Source organism: Homo sapiens, chromosome 3 (genome assembly GCF_000001405.40).
Source record: "Homo sapiens chromosome 3, GRCh38.p14 Primary Assembly".
Lineage (NCBI taxonomy): Eukaryota > Metazoa > Chordata > Mammalia > Primates > Hominidae > Homo > Homo sapiens.
The window spans coordinates 44234266-44254097 of NC_000003.12; the positions used below are offsets into that span (position 1 = coordinate 44234266).

Genomic DNA, 19832 nt, shown 5'->3' on the forward strand with positions numbered 1-19832 from the left:
AGATTGAAATAAGACTATCTTGGCTCTCAAAGAGAAATTTTTCTTCCTAAGGATCCCTTGAATCTGTAACCTCATTTGTCAGTGTTTCACTCTATCACAGTCCTCATCCTTCCCACGTGGACTGTGGAGAGGGTTCCCCAAGGAAGTTGGTTTCCTCCTACAATGCTGCACATTCCTTCCAGATCAGCTTCCTGAGCCATGACCCTGACAGTCCTGCTATTCCACAACCCCTCCAAAAAAATTACAGGCCCCACGCAGCCAACAAATGTTTACTTGGCACCTGTGTGCCAGGCACTGTTTTCATTAATAGAGATATAGCAGGGCATGAAAAAAGGCCCTGTTCTAGCTAAGGGTTGGGGAAGACTGAAAATGAGCAAGTACACTATATGGCACTGTCGTGAGGAAAATCAAACCGGAAAAGTGCATGGGAGGGAACTTCCATTGTAGAGTGGTAGCAATATTGAATTTTACTTGTGCCCTGTGACCCTGGAAAAGGGAAGGATAAGATATCTCCCTGCCCTTATGTTCCAAGAAACAGCTTACTGCAAAGAACCACCTTTCCCCATGTAACTGAGATAAGACTCACAGATACTCACCTTAATTATCTATGACGAGGCCAGACACCAATCTTACTCTGCTTCATAAATCATTAGCTGAACTACTTGTCCCCACTGACCAATTGGAACAAAATGCATGTTTCACACTTTGGTTCAGCTTCTCTCCTTCCTCCAGGTCCCTGAACTTTGGCTCAATATACAGCCCCTCCTGAGAAGAGGCTGGCCTCAGGGTCAAACATTCTGTGATCTCCTGTTGGAACACACCACTCTTTGGAACACGCCACTCTTTGGAACACCCCACTACCCCATACCTCATCTTTTCTAGCTTTATTTACTCCTCCACAAACAAACAAAATAATACACTGAAATGATGGCCCTAATCCAACTTGAATTTTTTTTTTTTTTTTTTTTGAGATGGAGTCTCGCCCTGTCGCCCAGGCTAGAGTGCAGTGGCGCCATCTCGGCTCACTGCAACCTCCGTCTCCCAGATTCAAGCTATTCTCCTGCCTCAGCCTTCCTAGTAGCTGGGACTACAGGCGTGCACCACCATGCCCAGCTAATTTTTGTATTTTTAATAGAGGTGGGGTTTCACCATGTTGGCCAGGCTGGTCTCGAACTCCTGACCTCAAGTGATCCACCTGCCTCAGCCTCCCAAAGTGCTGGGATTATAGGAGTGAGCCACCACACTCGGCCTAATTTTCATATTTTTAGTAGAGATGGGGTTTCACCATGTTGGCCAAGCTGGTCTGGAACTTTTGACCTCAAGTGATTTACCCGTCTTAGCCTCCCAAAGTACTGGGATTACAAGCCTGAGCCGCCATACCCGGCCCCAACTTGAAAATTTGAGAGGGATAAATATTACAAGATCCTTTCCAGAGATGCCAGAGTATGGGCACATCCACCTTAGGCATTCTTAGGTGTGGGGCGGGTGCAGAAGCAGTAGAATAAGCTTGCTTCCGTCTCTCTCAGACCAGAGGTTCTTGCCTCCTGGAGAATGGTCAGTTTGGAAGCACAGGCGGCTAGGCAGCAACCAAGAGGAAACGCTTAGGAAATGATTAATTCACCGCGTTTTTAAATTACTTAGCTGCTCTTGCCTCTCAGGAGCAAAACGGAGAGGTTAGACTAGATTATTTCAAGGTCCTATTCTGCTCACAGATTCCTATTGTGTTCCATTTTGGACTTATTACATTGAGTAATTGAGTTCTTCCGACTCAATGACACAATCAGAGAGGCTCTTAAGATTAAAGAGCCTGGAGTTCCTGCAGCCTGAGGAAAGAGGGTGAGTCATCGTTGGCGGCTCTGATCTGGGGCCCTCTAGTGGATACAAAGTTAATTGAGATTCCGAAGTCTGGACTTCAAGACGTAAAATTACTTGAGACAAGTGGCAGGTTTTGAAACCTTTCATTTTTCTCCAAGGTAAAATAGGATCACTAATTTTTTTTAACATTTGAGAGATACCGATATGTTATTGTCTGCTGAACATTGGATTGGATAATATTCCTAGGCAGATGATTTACAATCAGAAATTGAATAAGAAGCCAAACTTGGAGAAAATGTGGGGAATGTTTAGCAGAAAAGATAAGTGACCATGTTTTGGGAGAACACAAAATTTATTCTTGCATTATTTAAACGCCAATTTCAAGACAGTGAAAGAACATCTTCTGCCACTGTGACTGAACAAGTCTTTGCTTTCACACTGTTTCTTCCAGCTTCCTTTAGCTACAGAGGGGGCTCTCTTACCAGGAAAAAAGAAATTAAGTATTTTAAACTGTAGGAATCTAAAATGCCCCTCAGTGGCATAAAGATTATTTTAAGCTAAAACCATCTGAACAAACAGCAGCCATGAGGGCAGGAGGCGGGCGGACCTTATCTAAACTTCTTTTGCTGAGTTAAGCAGGACCTCCCAGAAAATACCAGCCACCATAATTCCCTCTCTGAATGATTTACAGCCGGAAAAAAAGACTATTATCAATGGAATTAGTAATTGCTTAAACTTCATCTGAACCAAACTTTCCACTCGTTCTTCCATAGAAGCCCTTTCTCCCCCTCCTTTCTCCTTATTCAGTGGATATATAAACTATCTTTGGCTGATTGAGTAGCCGTTTCATCTAAAGGATCCAGAGTGACTACACAAATTTTGTCTTTTCTCCTATTAATATGTCTACTGTCAGTTAATTTGCAGACCCCCAAACACTGGACCCAAATCGAAGGATGAAAAAATATTTCCTTCCATAGGGGAGAAGATAATTATTTTCATAATCATCACTAGGTACATGACTGAGGCACCTATAATAAAAACATACTAACAAGAGAAAAGCTCACAAATTTAAGTTTTACATGACACAGGAGCCTTCAGAAATGAAGACTCAAAGAAATGGTGAAACTTGCGTATTTTTATGCTTAAAGAGTGGACAGTTGTACAGAAGTATAATTGGACAAAGGGGGTGTGATCTAATGGTAATAAACTGGGGAGAGCTTAGCAAGACTTGTTTGTTCACGTTCTTCTCTGTGTCCCTGTGTCTTCAGAGATAAGGATATTGCTTTCTTCCAGGAATAGGAAGGGCACCTCTGGAATGAGGGTCTATGGCCTACTTCAGGAAAAAGTCAGCTGGATTTTATGGCCTGTTTCAGGGCAAAAGGGCAGGGGAGGGTGAAAGTGACCTTGCTTCTGCTGTTTTCTCAAATGCCAAGGTGCCATATTTTGGGGTAGCATGTTCTGAACCTCATCACTCCCAACAAAACAGGCATGTACTTCAGAGAATGGGATAGAAGAACTGAGAAATCAAATGAGGTTTGTGGTGCCCAGATATTAATAACAGCAGAAAGCAACTACCACTTCTAGGCTGGAGCGGCAAAGGGACCTCAAGGCACATAGCCGAAGCTGCCCCCACAGAGAGCCCCTCCAGCAAGAAATGGAGCCCCAGGGGAGATGTACCAGTGGTCTGCTAGGCAGTTCAAGGCAGAAAGCAATGTGGGAAAACTCTCCCTTCTTTATTCTGCCAGGGTTCTCTATTGGTCGAGTCTCACTCAAAGCCAGCTGACCCAGGAATGTGGAAAATGCAGATTCAGGAGCTGGCCCCTGCAAGTCATAGCAGGGCAGAAAAAGGGTATGGAATTGCTCTAACTGCAAACTGGCCAAGGACTGGCATAATAAAGGATAGAAGTTATGATGTTAGAGTTGACAAATATTAGCAATAGAGAGGACTGTTAGTCTTATAGATGTTTGTATAAATAGAACATGAATCTACAAGGTCAGCTTTATGGGGACATGGCCTGTGTAGCTGCACAGGGTTCCATACTTGGTTTAATGTTCTGCTGTCACTGTCTTGAAAGTTTTTAATTTTTTTTCTTTTTTGAGACAGGGTCTCACTGTGTTGCCCAGGCTTGTCTTGAACACCTAGGCTCAAGCGATCCTCCTGCTTCAGCCTCCCAAAGTGCTGGGATTGCAGGTGTGAGCCACCACGCCTGGCTGAAAGCTCACAAACTTCCTTAAGTTTTACATGACACAGAAGCCTTTAGAAATGAAGACCCAAAGAAATGGGGAAACTTTTTAATTTTTGAACAAAGGGCTGTGTGAGTTTTCATTTTGTACTGGGGCCCATAAATTATGTAGCTAGTCCAGAGGATCAATAATCTACAACTTAGAGTTGTGGAATGCAGAGAATGTAGCTCTGCTGTCCTCTTTTCTGGATAGAACTAGGACATTGGAGAAGTGGTGACCCTGAGGTTGACTTCAAGGGCTGGGCAATATTGTCAGCCAGGATGCAGGGACAAGAGCACATGGGTAGAAAAGGAAAAGGGAAAGGACTAGAAGAGAAGGGACTCTTAGGCACCCATAGAAGGTCATCTCTGTGTGGGCTGAGATGCAACCCAATAGCTATGAGTAAACATTCTGCTCCATGTTCTGGTTTCCCAAGTATGTGAGGTCTCCCACTAGGAAGACAGTCTTTTTTGATAAATGATAATGCCTTCCCTCTCCAGATATTGCCATGCATAATAAGTAAAATTATGATAATCATTTCACAGAATAGAACAGAAGATCCAATGGAAACTTTTTATAAAGACATCTAACCTCAAGTTTTCCATTTGAAAGCAGTTTGGTGTGAGGATTTTAAAAGCTGTAATAAAGACTAAAATTTTACTATGCAGAACCCTAAGTATACAGTCCTTCCTCAATGTCCACAGACGGTTGATTCCAGGACCTCTCTCAATACTAAAATCTGTGATTCAGTTCCTTACATAAAATGTCATAGTATTTACATATAACCTACCCACATCCTTCTGTATACTTTAAATCATCTCTACATTACTTACAATACCTCATACAATGTAAATAATTGTTACATTGTTTTTTAATTTTGTATTTTTATTCTTTTTTTTTCCAAATATTTTTGTTATACAGTTGGTTGAATCTGCAGATGCAGAACCCACAGATAGGGAGGGACGACTGCACTTGATTTTGGAATTTCCTATGCTACTAAGTTCTTCTCATTCCTGTTCTACAAATTGTTTGACAGTTATGGGTCATAAAAGTTTCAAATTCCTGGGCCTATAACCAACTTTAACACCATCTGTCCTTAAAGTGGGCCGAAGGCAGTGGGTGCCTGCCAGTGGGCTCCAGGTTCAGACCAGAGGCCGGACTCTTGAATTTTTATCTTTATTTTACTAACATCCTAGTAGCAATGTTTATTTTGAAGGTAGTAAATGTCAGAATTCTATAGAGTCTACCTTTTAATATATATTGAGGCCAGGTCTGGTGGCTCACACCTATAATCCCTGCACTTTGGAAGGCTGAGGTGGGAGAATCACTGTAGGCCAGGAGTTCAAGGCCTGCTTGGGCAACATAGGGAGACTCTATCTCTATTAAAAAAAAAATGAGCTGGGTGTGGTGATGCACACCTGTAGTCCCAGCTACTCCTGAGGCTACGGTGGGAGCATCACTTGGGCCCAGGAGATCAAGGCTGCAGTGAGCTGTGTTCACACCACTGCACTCCTGCCTGGGTGACAGAGTGAGACTCTGACTCAGAGAGAGAGAGTGTGTGTGTGTGTGTGTGTGTGTGTGTGTGTGTGTGTGTGTGTTGAAGTTTTTACTTAACAAATCTATTTAATGTTTATAATCAACTAGGCATTATTCTAACTGCTTTACAAATATTGGCACATCTAATTCTCATGAGAACTCTGAGGACACACTATTTCATTTTACAGATGAGGAAAGTGATATATAAAGTGAGGCATAAAGTGAATGTGGAATGAGCCTGAAGTGCTTATGATAACTTTTTATAAATTCTGCTAGTCTTAAACTGATTTTCCTTTTACTAAGGGTACTTACAAAGAGAAAGAAACAAGGATAATTTCTGTATCTTTTACACCTCTTTTACTTAAGTTCTATTTTATAAAAGCTCCTCAGAATACTTGACCTGAGCTTCTCATCCAAACTGCCATATTAGTCACACTCTATGCATCATACCTACCATTCTTTAATGCATTGTATTCAAATTCACCAGGTCCTTCTTTAAACACACAGAAAGCAAAGATTAATGGAAGGTATCTGCACTTGGTTGGAAGGAAGCTACTAAGGGAGACACACAAGTAAATAGTTGAACTGTGTGTTCGCAGACAGGAAGGAACACTTTACCCCTCAAAGTGCAAGAACAGTTGCAGGAAGGCTTCCTTGATGGGTGATCCTTGCATGAATCTTGAAGGGGAAATATGTAGTTTACCAGGCAGACAAGCAAAGGAAGACTTTCCAGGACTGTCAGGTACAGAAGCACAAGCATAACAAAAGTATATGAAATCTGGGGAACTTCAGGTAGTAGTCCAACGTGGCTTATGGGCAGGCTATGTGTGGTGATAAGAGATAATTTTCAAAAAAGAGAAAATAATGGCTGTCATGGATGAACATGTATTAAAGATTATATTCTCCCATCAGGCAGATTTTATAAACATTGGTTCAAAGGGTAAGTCCAAACAACAAACATTCTAGACCAGGAATGAAGTGAATGTGGAAATGGAGGCAAAACTAGCTTCTTCCACAGTGAAAATGGGAAGTCAATTAAACTTCTATTGGACAGAATTTGGATTTCTATAGACCGTTATTTTGTGTTGCTATCGCTTATCTATAATTTACAGAGTTGTAAAATAACTCCCATAGAATCAGAATCAGATAATTCAGAAGGGTGACTTCTATGTAGTTTTCCATCAAAGCACAACTTTTACCCTACAGTGGCAGTAAGAGAAAACTAGTTAATTTTTCAGAGGCCACATCAGATAGGGTCACAGATACCACACCAGAGTTTGGATTTCTGTTAGTTTTAGTCTTTGAGCAAAAGAAGTTCATGAAGGGTCAAACTGAGAAGTGCTAGGATCTCCTGTCATCGGAGAGGCATGGCCTGGCAAGGAGGTGGACGTTTGACTGGAATAGCTCAAGGATGGATTCAGAGGCTTGATGCAGTAGGTCAGTCAAGAAAGTCTGAGGGCCAGAGCCACGGTAATGGCAAACGGGAGAGTGGCTGACAAACAAAATACAGTCAAGTAGATCTAGTGAAAGTGGATGTGAGGGATGAAGTAGAAAGAAGGTTGTCTCTGATGGTTTCTAGGTTTCTGGCTTAAACAATTAGGCGCATGGTGGCGCATCCACCTATGTGAAAGGAGCAAGCTTGTGAGGAGCGATGAGCTGGTTTGCCCATCTGAGTGTGAGGTGCCTGTGGAATATGGAATATCCGGGTGAATATATCAGGAAGACAGTTAGACAGGGGCTTCTAGGAGACTTGGTGTGGAGTTACAAGCCACTGACAGTGGCCTTTGCGAGCAGCCAAGGCGCGAAGAGCAGCAGCTGGGAGAATGAGCCCTGAACGGTTCCAGGAAGCTCAGCCTAGTGGAAGGGCCAACGGAGGCCTGTTATGTGATGAGCCCCACTACAGTCCCTCGCAATGCAATCGGGCGCGGCCACTGCCTCCCTCGGAGCTCCGCGAGAGGCCCTCCAAAAAGACGCTGGCACGGAACTCGCGGCTCTCCTGCCCGTTGGATCCCGAAGCACCAGTCGGGGCCCCAGACACGAGGCCCCACTTCCGCTTACGCGCCCCACTTCCGCTTCCGGCCCCGGGCTGTGGTGACTGGCGGTGTGGGGTGGGTCAGAGGGCAGTAGGTACCTCCAGGCGGGAGCAGCGTTTGCACCGCGGTGGGTTCCTGCGAGCTGGTGCAGAGGGGCCCCAGCGGGCCGGCCCCGGGGCACATGCGACGACCTCCACCCCTGGGCCCCACGACGGCCTCAGGGCCTGAAGGCAATGTGCGAAACCTGCAGAAGCGGCAGGCGCCAGGGCCAGGCGCGGCGGGAGGCTGTGGCCCTGAGGCCGGGGGGTGCCGGGAAAATAAGCAAAAGAGGAGAATGGTGGCCCGGGCCACCCCTGGGAGAGGCGAGGTGGAAAGTGATAAGTCGGTTGCAGCATCAGGGGCTGGAAAGGCCGCAAGGCGTCAGGTGGAGGGGCGCAGGGGCCCGGTGAGCCCGTCAGACTCGTCAGACCCGCGAGGCCTAGAAGCAGCAAAGGAGGCTGAACTCCCCTTGCAAACGGAAAGACACAGTAAGAAAGCATCCACGATCACTTACCTTTAGCCCTTGTACCTCAGCGTGCTCCATCTTTGTTTTACCACTAGTCTTTAACTTGAACCTGCATGGTTATTTCTGATGCACATAGTTGACCAGGAGATGGGAAAAATGGATTTCCTTAAAAGGGGTGTTCCCTGTTAGGAATCCTTGGTCAGAATTATGATAGGAGGAATTCCTACTTGTGGTCCATTTTGGCTAGTATGAGATGACGATGTTATAAGGGTTATTCAGTTGCCTTAGAATTTATACAGGTTTATATGTAATTCCTTAACAGAAATTAAGGCTTTCATTTAAAAACAAATGTGTATTTACATACAGCTGTTCAGGGAAATAAAAATGATAGCCTCACAATTTTTAATTTCAATGATAATTGCATTTTCCTCCTCAATATAAAATCTTTTCTGATATATTTTGTTGTTTTGATCAGCCAAGGAAAAAAGAAAAGTTACTGAAGCCTCAAGTGATGATCCACAGCCAGGGCTTGACTTGGTAAGAAAGGAATCATTAACCAGTTCGGAATCTTTCCAAACAGTGGAATGCTTGCAGTCTTTGGGTAAGGAAAGTATAATAGAAGGTATTAAAAGAAGAATTCGAAATAAAAAACTTAAAAGCTTAGAAAACCCACCTCTCAAAATAACCGAAAATGAGGCTACACAAAATATTAAGGTTGAATTCCAAGATGAACTGTACAAGAATACTCCAAAATATTCTTGTAATATCTTGTCACCTGAAGTAGAAAATAATTCCGTTTTAAAATTACGTGATTGCAATTGTTTCCCCCATTCCAAGGGTTGTAATGATGAAAACAACCTGCCATATAAACCTGATGGTGGATGTATGCATGTAGCAGAAAATTTCTCAAAGAAAGAAAACCTTAGGAGTCTTGCAGAGAAGAGTGACACAAATAGTATTCCTCAGCTCTTACAAACAGAAGAAAATGTAATGGGAGTAAATAAGTTACTACCAGAAGAGAGTGATTTATACCAAAGTAAAACCAATGGCTTGCTTTCCTGCCTTCAACATGAAAAAAATAAATATTCAATAGAGGAGAGCAGTGTTGGGCGAAAACCCAGGAAAAGGATGAAGTTGTCTGAAAAAGCAGATGAAACAGTTACTGAGATGAACTTCTCTAATGAGTATAACAAGTCTGAGTTGATGTTGCAAGAAAATCAAATGATTGCTGATGGTAAAGAAGCAGAGACTAAAAGTCCTTTAAATGTTTTGAGAAAAGTAAGCCATAATACAGTCTCTTTGATGGATCATTTATTAAGTGTCCCAGAAACAGTAGAAAAAGAAACAAGTTCTGAACATCATGTAAATGCTGTGTTTCAGAAAACCATTGAACCACTTTTGAAAGAAGAAACAGAGAATGCTTCAGAGCCGTTAGGTTATGAAAGCATGGCATCGAAAGAGGATTTTAAATCGATGAAAAGCTTCATAGGGAAATCACCTAATGAGTACCATATTGAAAGGAGATCTTCACGGGAAGACTTAAGAAGTGCATCTGAAGAATTGAAGTTAAGCTGTCAGAGAACAATACCTATGACTGGTAAAAGAACTTGGCCCTATTATTCATGTGCTAGAATATCTGCCTGGTGTTGGAAAAAGGCTTCCTTGCCAGAATCAAGTTACTTTCTTCGTGGGTCTCAGGAAAGTTGTAGGCAAGTTGATGTCCCTAAACACCAAACAAACCAGACCCATTTAACTGACTCCAAATTATTATTACAAAGTTCCTTAACAGAAACAAACACTGAATCTTCAAGTAAAGAAAAATTAGATTCTAATTCTAATTGTTTGTCTTCAGTTTCTGCAGTAGAACCTACTTTAATGGTTATAAAGGAACCTATAATCAAGGATGATAAAAAGATAAAATCAGAGGAACTGAGCAGAAGAGGGTCAGAGGTAATTTCTAACACTACTGAAGATACTCAATTAACCAGTGAGACTCAAAGCTTAACGGGAAATAAAAAAAAAGCTAGAGGAAATTTAACGAAACTTAATTTGACAGCGACTTCCAAAGATGGTCAGGAAGCAAATAACTCTGCAGGCAAAACTATTCATCGAAAAGCATGCATTGCTCAACAAACATTTATAGTTCCAGACTTGGTTAAAATATTGAACACAGGACGGCTGACTAATTTTAAAATTCCTTTACTTAAGAATAAATCAGAAAAAAGAAAAGAAGTAAATGCCAAGTCATCAGAGAGAGAAGCTTACAGTCCTCTAGAACTTCTGGACAATTTATCTGGAGCAGACGTAAGACAGAACAGGAGTAAAGAAAATGTCTCCATGATGATGTTAGGACCTCAAACTTTGAGCATACGAAATAGTGTAACTCCAGTGCAAGCTAGTTCTGACTCATTCTACAATAAGAAATCCTATAGTATTTCTCCAAGCTTTACAAAGCAAGGTAACAATAGCAAACCATCTAATCACGTCTCTGAACCAGGCAATATTGTTTCTAATAAAGAAGTTGCTTCTCTCACAGTTGAAAATAATGCTTTTTCTTGTGATCCTGGGTATGTAGAGAAAAGTCCTTCCTTCTGCTGTAATGAACAAGAAACATTCCGACCAGTGTCCAGTGAAGTTAGGGGTAGAAAAATAACTAAGAATTTTTCAGAGGTAGGGTTTCCAGATATTCTTAAAGCATATGAAGATGACGTCCTCTTAATTGATGTAATTCAAGATGACCCAGACCTCTTTGGAGTCTCCAATGAAGGGGAGCTCTCATTTACTTCTGAGGTCCCAAAGATAAGCCAGGAGCCCAATGTTGCTGGAGAGCACCAATCAACAGACTCCAAGTACATGGAAACTCCAGTAAAAAAAGAACCAAGTGATGACTTAAGGTATGCATGTTCAAGTATTCCTTTTAGTGCAGATTGTTGGGGGTTAGAAAAGCAGTCTCTTAAGTTTCACTAATGTATTCAGTGATATTGAAGCTCCATTATTTTTTAACCCAATTATTTATTAAATGTTATATACCATTATTACTGCTGATACCTGGAAATGTCATTATGCTAAAACTTAGAGTCAAAATAATGAATTATATGTATCTTGGAAGATAGAAAAGATTAGCTGTTCAGAATTTATGGTTCATAGAGTGGCTTTTTTTTTTTTTTTTTTTTTTTTTTAACGGAGTCTCGCTCTGTCACCCAGGCTGGAGTGCAGTGGCGCAATCTCAGCTCACTGCAAGCTCTGCCTCCCAGGTTCACCCCATTCTCCTGCCTCAGCCTCCCAAGTAGCTGGGACTACAGGCACCCACCACCATGCCCGGCTAATTTGTTTTTGTATTTTTAGTAGACACGGGGTTTCACTGTGTTAGCCAGGATGGTCTTGATCTCCTGACCTCGTGATCCACCCGCCTCAGCCTCCCAAAGTGCTGGGATTACAGGCGTGAGCCACCGCACCCAGCCCATAGAGTGGCTTTTTAAGTGATGGAGATTGCTTCTTTCAAAAGTTAAGTTTATTTTCAAATGTTCTTTAATTATTATAAATACACAGATAAACTTTTACTTCAGCCAGGTTACTTATTAAGATCAGTGCTATCTATTTTAATCCATTTTCTATAGCCTCCTTGTTCGATAAAAAGTTCATTTTTCAGGGGACAGAGACGCCTTGGAAATTTTTATTTGAAGTAATTAGGGCTTGAAAGTAGAGTCAAAAGTTAAACTAATTTTCAGAGATAAACAGCATAAAATTTATTCGTGGTTTTACTTTTAAGGCAATGGTTTTAAATGATGATTTTTTCCCTCAAATAGGACTAGTTTGCCCAATGCAACTTTAAATGGGGCCAAGTAGTAACCTTCATGCTCAGGAACTTAATCTATTCTGTTTGGCCCCAAATTGATTTAATATTATGTCATATTTTACTTAATTTTATAATTCCTGAAGCCGTTATTTATATAATACCTGAATATCATAATATTTTGTGAATAGACTCAAAGAAAAATGAAAACACTTTTCATTAAGATTCAGTGGTACATGACTTAAGTTTCTCTGCCATTTATTTGCAGTTACCTTTGTGGTATCATACTCTTCTTGATGGTCTTATTGTTATAAGAACTTGAAACTTATCACCAAATATAATGCTGTCTATGTGCCAAATGGAGAACCAAGAGTTTTATTGATTTTTTTAACCATGTAATGAGGTAGCCTGGTAATCTGCCTGTTTTGAAGATGGAAAAAAATGAAGACAAATTTGTCACTTGCCCAAGATCACACTCCTAGTAACAGAATCTGGATTTGAACCTAGCCCTGTCTTACTCTAAACCTAGTGATTGTCTTTGTAGTCTGACCTTGGTTTTTGAATCTTCTTGTTACCACCTAACAACTATGTGACCTTTTAGGCAAATTATTTCATCTTTCTGTAAAAAGGGAAAGTACTTGCCTCAGGGTTGTGAGGATTAAATTAAATAATGAATAGAAAAGGTTTGGGCATTTTTAACTGTTATACCATACTTCCTTGGAGGAATACAAAGGAAAATCAGAGTAAATTCTGCATTCAAGAGCAAACTTCTCTGTTGAGTGACAAGATGTTGACAGTGAGCTAAGCCAAATTTAGAAAGAGATACATGTTGTGAATTAAAGTGCAGGACCTTTGTTCTTTATTCTTTTTTTAAAGAATAATGGCTGATTTTAAAACATGATACATTTTCATTAAAGTAAAAAGCGGTGTTGGGGGGGAAATCCACCACCCAAATAACAAATTAATTGCTATTTGTATGCATCATTTCAGACATTTGTCTATACATATAAGTGGATATAATATTAGAAAAATTGGATCATGCCATTTTTTAGTAAAAATGCTAAAGAAAATTTCATTTACACTTAACCAGAAGAGGCAGAGAAATCAAAGTGGAATGAAATGGATTGCTGAATTAATATATTTCTTTACCACAAGAAATTAGTTTCTTGAAGTTCTCTCTCAAGTTAATAAGGAAACTTGTCTAAAAGTTTGAGTTTTAGCTTCACTTATAAAAATTGTTTTCTAACTTTAGACAGCAGTGTTTGCTTTCTTAATATGAAAGATGAACATATTTCTACACACTTTTTCTCCTAATATAGCCTACCCCACATTTTTGTTTAAAGTTTATTTTATATTACTAAGCCTTGTGCCATGTACATTCCTTCAATAACCTGAACTCCAATGATTCTCATTATTAGTACTCTATTTAAATTGGTTCAGTCCCTACCACCAGTCCTATTTACTTTCCTCTAATCTTGACTATTTTTGTTATTTTTTTGAGAGGGAGTCTTGCTCTGTCACCCAGGCTGGAGTGCAGTGGCGGATCTCGGCTCACTGCAACCTATGCCTCCCAGGTTCAAGCAATTCTCCTGCCCTGGCCTCCTGAGTAGCAGGGATTACAGGCACATGCCACCACTCCTGGCTAATTTTTTTTGTACTTTTAGTAGACAGGGTTTCACCATGTTGGCCAGGCTGGTCTCCAACTCCTGATGTCAAGTGATCTGCCTGCCTTGGCCTCCCAAAGTGCTGGGATTACAGGCATGAGCCACCGTGCCTGGCCTAATCTTGACTATTTTGATTCATCGCTTAGTTGGCTAGATTTCAGAGCAAAGAAATTTTTAAAGAGTTCACGATTACTGTGTTCCCTAAAATCTTGGGTGCATGAGAATTATTTGTCTAAGAGCAGGTTGTCTGTGTGTAAAATTCTTAGTTTACATATTTCCCCCTCACAATTATATAGACATTGCTCTCCTGCTTTCTGACATTATGTGTTGTAGTAAAAAACTTTGAGGCCAAACTAATACTCCCACTGCTCCACTTTAAGCTGCCCTTATTTTTTCTTCTTGTTTTCCACCTTGGGAATGGTAATTATATATCACTTTTTCCTGAGACAACGTTAGCCATTTTGGTGTGCAGTATCAAGTGTTTATTTCAGATAGCTTTTTTGTTACTATCTTTGAACTTCATTTTTCTTCACTTCAAAAGCACCAGTTATACTTTTATTGGCTCTTCTTTGCCTTTTATCTACTTCTAAAGTTTCTGTTTTTAAACAAACTTAAACATTTTCTTAGTATTATTTTAATATTTTTATATTTGTTCTGCACTGGAAATACTAGTTTTGTAGTCATCCACAGTGCTAGGATAAACCTTAACAGGGAAAAATGAAGACCTGATAACCAGAGAATCTATCAGTAGTTGCACAGAAACTTGTTAATGGTTCTAGAACTAAATGAAGCTTAAAATATAATTTGAAATTTCAGCTATGTCCCTTTTACCAGTCAGTTACTAGTTCTTATGCTCCATTTTCTCCCTTCTAAGACACTGAGAGGCTGAAGGCTGCTGGAATGAGTTTTTATTTTACAGGAATAAAAGTAGAAGATGAAAGGGTGAGGCCCATATATTGTCAGAAACTCTGGACTGCCCCTTTTGGTAAAACAAGTAGACAAACTTGAGCTGACTTAATCACTGGGGAAAGTATTCTCAGACCAGATTGGGGAGAATTTGGAAGGTGTCTAAGTCATGATAGAATGCTTATTTGTTTTTAGTCTCCACAGTGGGGAAAGCCCATATTAAAATCTAAAACATTAGAAGCATACTAGAGCTCATTCACTAAAACTTGAACTGATGTGCTTGGAAATGTGTAATGGCTGAAATTGGTAAAACGTTTGAAATAGCCTGTATCATTGGAAATGATCTGAGGATTTCCATAATAGTCAGTGCTGGACAGTTAATCTGTACTAGAACATAGGATTATTATATGCTAAAATATCAGTTGAATGATACCATACAGTGGATTGTTGAGATTTTAAGAGTCTGCCAAAAATTCAGGGGAATTACTATATAGTTGGGGGGAAGGGGGAGGAGTGGGGGACTAATGTGTTTTAAACAAAAGTATATAAACTGAAGTACTAAGAGTAGTAGGAGTTTAGAAAAGAGAAGAATGAAAGAAATCTTGGAAAAGCAAAAATTTGTATTGATCCTTGAAGTTTGGATTTTAGATTAACAAAGAAGAAGGAAAGAAGTTTGGTCGGGAAGGAGAAATAATGAGGAATATGTGGGCAGAAAGGTAAAAGTACATATAAACATGATTGTGTACAGAAGGTTAAAGGTTTTCCTGATTCCATCAGGCAGAGGTAGAATCCCTTATGCATTCCCATAGCACCTTATGCTACCTCAGTAGTGGCATTGATTTCATGGTGGAATAATTTAATCTCTCACTTGCTAAACTGTTGGATTTCTTAAGGGTAAGAAATGTCCATGTCTTATTTACCTTCATTTGCAAGTCCAGTCCCTCATATATTGAGATGGGAAAGAGAATTAAGGTTTCAATTCCTATTTGAGAATATCGCAGGCCATTTCTGAAGCACTTGAATTAGATTACATGTAAATGGAGACAGTGAATCCTTTCTTTCTTAAGCAAGTAGACATTGAACAATAGTGGGAAATAAGATTTTATAAGTAGGGTGATGCTAGATTAAGGAGGTTGGAAAGTTAGGCACAAAAATTTGAATTCAGTATGGAATTGATGTTGGTGATCAGTGGGGATCAGTTATTTACCACCTTCACAACTTGGTCTCAAATCCATAGGCAGCCATTGTAGATTCTGGAGCCAGTAAATAATAACTTCTGAGGGATAAATATCTGATATCAATCCACAGAAAATAAAAGCCTACCACTTTTGCCCAGGCATTTGAGTCTCATTAGACCCATGCATAGACTGGATCTATGCCGGGCAAATTATATCCTGTCTCAAGTAACTTACTTTCTCAGAGTCTGACTTAATCCCAGTTTGTTCCCCAAGAGAGGACTTCTAGAGTAGAGTAGTCTTATTACCAATTTTACCATGAAATGACAAAAAAAAAAAAAAAAAACAGGTTTCCACCAAAAATAAAAATCATTTTTTCTCTCCCTTATATATTGAGATTCATTGTCTTTTAAGAAACTTACTTTTCTTTATTGTCCCATTCCGCTGAGAATCTAATGTGCTCTAACTTTACTGCAAATTTTTATTAAATTTGTATAAAAATTATTAAATTTTTATTAAATTTTAATCATAAGAACTGATATTTAATGTCTACCCTGTGCTAGATACATTACTTATTTTATTTAGTGAAAAAATTCTGAGGTTGAAACTCTATTTTTATACTTAAATCAAAATGATTAACTTTCTAAAGGACTCAGCTTGCAAGTATCAGAGCTGACATCTGAACTCAAGGCAACCTGCTCCAGAGTCTGTCCCTGCTCTGCAAAACAGCACACTGGAAGAGCGGCATTTTGGTTCTTCCTATATATTTAATTCAATTACTCTGCAAACTACCGCAGAACATTATTTCACTTTAGGTCCCTTTCTTCTCATCTCTGCTTCCTCTTTAAAGTAGCAGGTGGGGACTATGAAGAAACATTATTCTGATTTTTTTTCTTTTCTCTTTCAGGCCACGTAAACTAGTCTTTGTCTTTGCTGGAATAAACAGTATTGTACGTGATTGAACATTTGTAATATCAGGAGACCTAACAGTATAGTGTGGCATCAGGCTAGGGAACCCCTGCCTTGATGAATTGGATACCATAATATTTCTCTGCCTAGGGCCACTACTACTTGCATAATAATTGCCCCAGTAAATTTGTAGCAGTCCTATCCAGAAACAGAATATGGGTATTTGTAAATAAATGAGTACTGACCACAATTAGCATCTCAAAAGGAGGCAGTGACATTCTGAATTTTTTTCTCTCTTTTTTTTTTCTTTGAGAGAGAAAGGGTCTTGCTTTGTTGCCCAGGCTGGAGTGCAGTGATGCCATCATGGCTCACTGCAGCCTCTACCTACCAGGCTCAAACGATGCTCACACCTCAGCCTTCCAAGTAGCTGGGGCTACAGGTGCATGCCGCCACACCTGGCTAATGTTTTTCTCTTTTTGTAGAGACTGAATCTCACTGTGTTGCCCAACCTGGTCTTGAATTCCTGGACTCAAGCAATCCTCCCACATCAGCCTCCCAAATTGTGGGGATTATAGGTGTGAGCCACTATGCTAAGCCCTAAACTTTTTCCTTGGGCAATAGTTTTCAAACAGTTTCTGATAGTAATTATTCTAAAGCAATCATCTTCCAGCTATTTTGCCAATTACCCACAATAAAGATCTGTTTTATATTACAATCTGGTACACATTTATAAAGATAGGAAATTATAGGTTTACGAAAACAATTATTTTCCTTACTACAACAGATATAGTCTCATATTTCATATTCAATTTCATTAAAAAATTTCTTGGTTGGGACCCACTAAATAGATTTCATTATCCACATGAAAAGTGCTCTGGTAGAGAATAAGCTTGAGGTAATCTGTATGGCTCTTCAGATTTGGCTTAAACCTGTCTTACTCTCTCCTCTCCTTTTTACTTAGATCTTCTCTTTGCTTATCTGTATTTCTGTAGCCTCATCCAAATCTCTTTTATCTCCTTTCGTTGTTCTTCCCTTCATTTTTCCCTTTTCTATTTCACCAATTCAGAACTGTGACTACACTCCACCAATGCAAAACTGTAAAATATTTGTATAAGTTACAATTTTTCTCACTTTATGATTTTTTTTTCACCCAGGTGAATTTAACTTTTTGTCTCTCAAATTCCAAACAAAAATAAACTGTTTCTTACAAGAGTTTGCATATGTAATTTTACCTTCCTTGTAAGTTAGCTATTTTCATAGTAAAAAGTTTCCCATACCTATATAAATTATACTAGCAGTATTATAAATACTATCTTAATACTTGGAAATTAAGCTAATATACTTGTTGTACCTATTTATGAATGGAACTTTCAGGATAATTAGAGGCCACAGAAGCATCCCTCAGTTCTCTATTGAGTCACTTAGTTCTGTTCATGTTATTACCTCAATATCTCTCATGGCTGTTCCTTCCTCTAAATTCTATGTTCTTATTTTTCTCCTAAATTATTGTAATGAGCTCCTGCTTAATCTTCCTAAACTCTCTTAATATATCTTTTGTCATAGTGATATTTGAAATAGAAATTGATCTGCCAGTAACCGTTGAGAGTGTTTCACTGGCTTTCAGCCACGTGGGGGTAGTCTAAATTGCTTGGCATGGCTTTTTAAGGCTCTTTAGTGGATCTGTATCCATTTCCTGTTTGGCAACTATGGTATTGGAGGGAGGAAAGTGGGGTGAAAGGCTAATAATGAAAGATAAACATAGCAGGCAGCTCACTGTTTCTACAATGCACCATGTACTTTAGGCCTTTTGCATATGTTTATCTGAAAGTCCCTTTCTTTGCATTCAGTTATCCGTCAGTCACATCTGAGATATTATTCCAGGGATATGTTCCAGTAGTTCTCTTGGCACATATCTCAGTATATTATGTCTGCTTGTATGTGAGCCCCACCTTGTACTGGAATTGCTGGAAAGGAGGGAGGCGTCTTCATTTGGGTCTCCTTAGCTTGGAATATGTTAGGTGCTGCATGTGTGGAGAACAACTAGACATATATAAGCCTTGTCCTCACAGTGCTTTTAGGGAGGCAAATAAGCATGTACCATAAAATGATAGGAGAAGTGCAAGATGTTAAACGCCTCCTGGTGAAAGTGGCATTTAAAATGATCACTAAAGGATAAGTAGGAATTAGCTAATTGTTGAGGAAAATTGAGACACCAAAATAATGTCTCATGGCTTGGTGTTCAAATGGCAAGAAATGAAGCTACAGAATGTGCAAAAGCTGTCATGAAGGGCTGTGAGAGTAAAATGACCATAGAATTTACCTTCTGGTTTGCAAAGCTTTTGAAAAGGACATGAGGAGCTGTTAATAATATGCCAGGACAACAGGCGTAAGCAGACCTTCCTAGGCAAACTAGAATTTATGGTGAGTGTGAAGTTTATGCTAAGCATATAGGAATTCATGGAAAGACTTTTAAATAAGAGAGATAATTTGATCACATTTACTTTTAAAAATCATTATAGCTCTGGTGTGGAGGATAAACTGGCAGGGAGCTATTGTAATAAGCCAAAAGAACGTGGTGACTTTACACAGAAGTGGGAGTGAATTTGAGGGAGGTTTAAGAAGTGAATATTGGTTCATCAGATGGGGGTGAGGCAGAGGGAGGTGTTAAGGTTGATACCTGGTTTCTCTCTTAGAGAAGAACATTACCATCCATCTCCCATGCAAAAAAGCTGTATTGGGGAGGTGAAATTTAGACATTTTGAGTTGAAGAGGCCTTTGAGATACTGAGATGGAAATATTCTAGTAGATAGCTGGATATGAATCTAGAAAGGTCCAGGTTAGAGAAAGATGTGCATTTGTGTATGTTTTCTGTTTGTATTATTTCCCCATCCTTTAAACTATACTTCTCATTGTTTCTAGGGTTTATGTTGGGAAAAAATACTTTGTTTTCTAAACTTCAAAGAACAGTAAATACAAAATGTTTTGTTTAGTTTTCATCTTTCTTGGCTAGGAAGTAATTCTGAACCAGGAGCAGTCGCAGTGCTGAAGGATATGCTTATCCACTTGTTAAATGAACAAATGGTGGGATTATGAGTGTTTATTTTATTCTGTGTACTTTGATATGTTTTAAATTTTTGTCTAAGTGATTAAAAATGGAATAGTGTTTGGCCATTTGTATTTGAGTGGCTCCTATAAATGTAGTTTTCATCTGTTGGGCCTATGCTGTTGGCTTTAAGGACATCTTATCTCATTTAATCCTCACAATACCTTGTG

At 39.6% G+C, this 19832-nt stretch overlaps 1 protein-coding gene across 4 annotated transcripts in view; it reads left to right on the forward strand.

Annotated features, from left to right (window-relative positions):
* Nucleotides 1–7620: 7620 nt before the first annotated feature.
* TOPAZ1 (testis and ovary specific TOPAZ 1) overlaps nt 7621–19832 on the forward strand; it is a 94804-nt gene continuing 82592 nt past the window's right edge. For all 4 annotated transcript variants that reach the window (XM_011533694.3, NM_001145030.2, XM_017006361.2 and 1 more), the window contains exons 1-2: nt 7621–8134; nt 8588–11006. In XM_011533694.3, coding sequence (XP_011531996.1) covers nt 7789–8134; nt 8588–11006 — 2765 coding nt within the window. In that variant the 5' untranslated portion in view covers nt 7621–7788. The remainder of the gene's footprint in view (nt 8135–8587; nt 11007–19832) is intronic.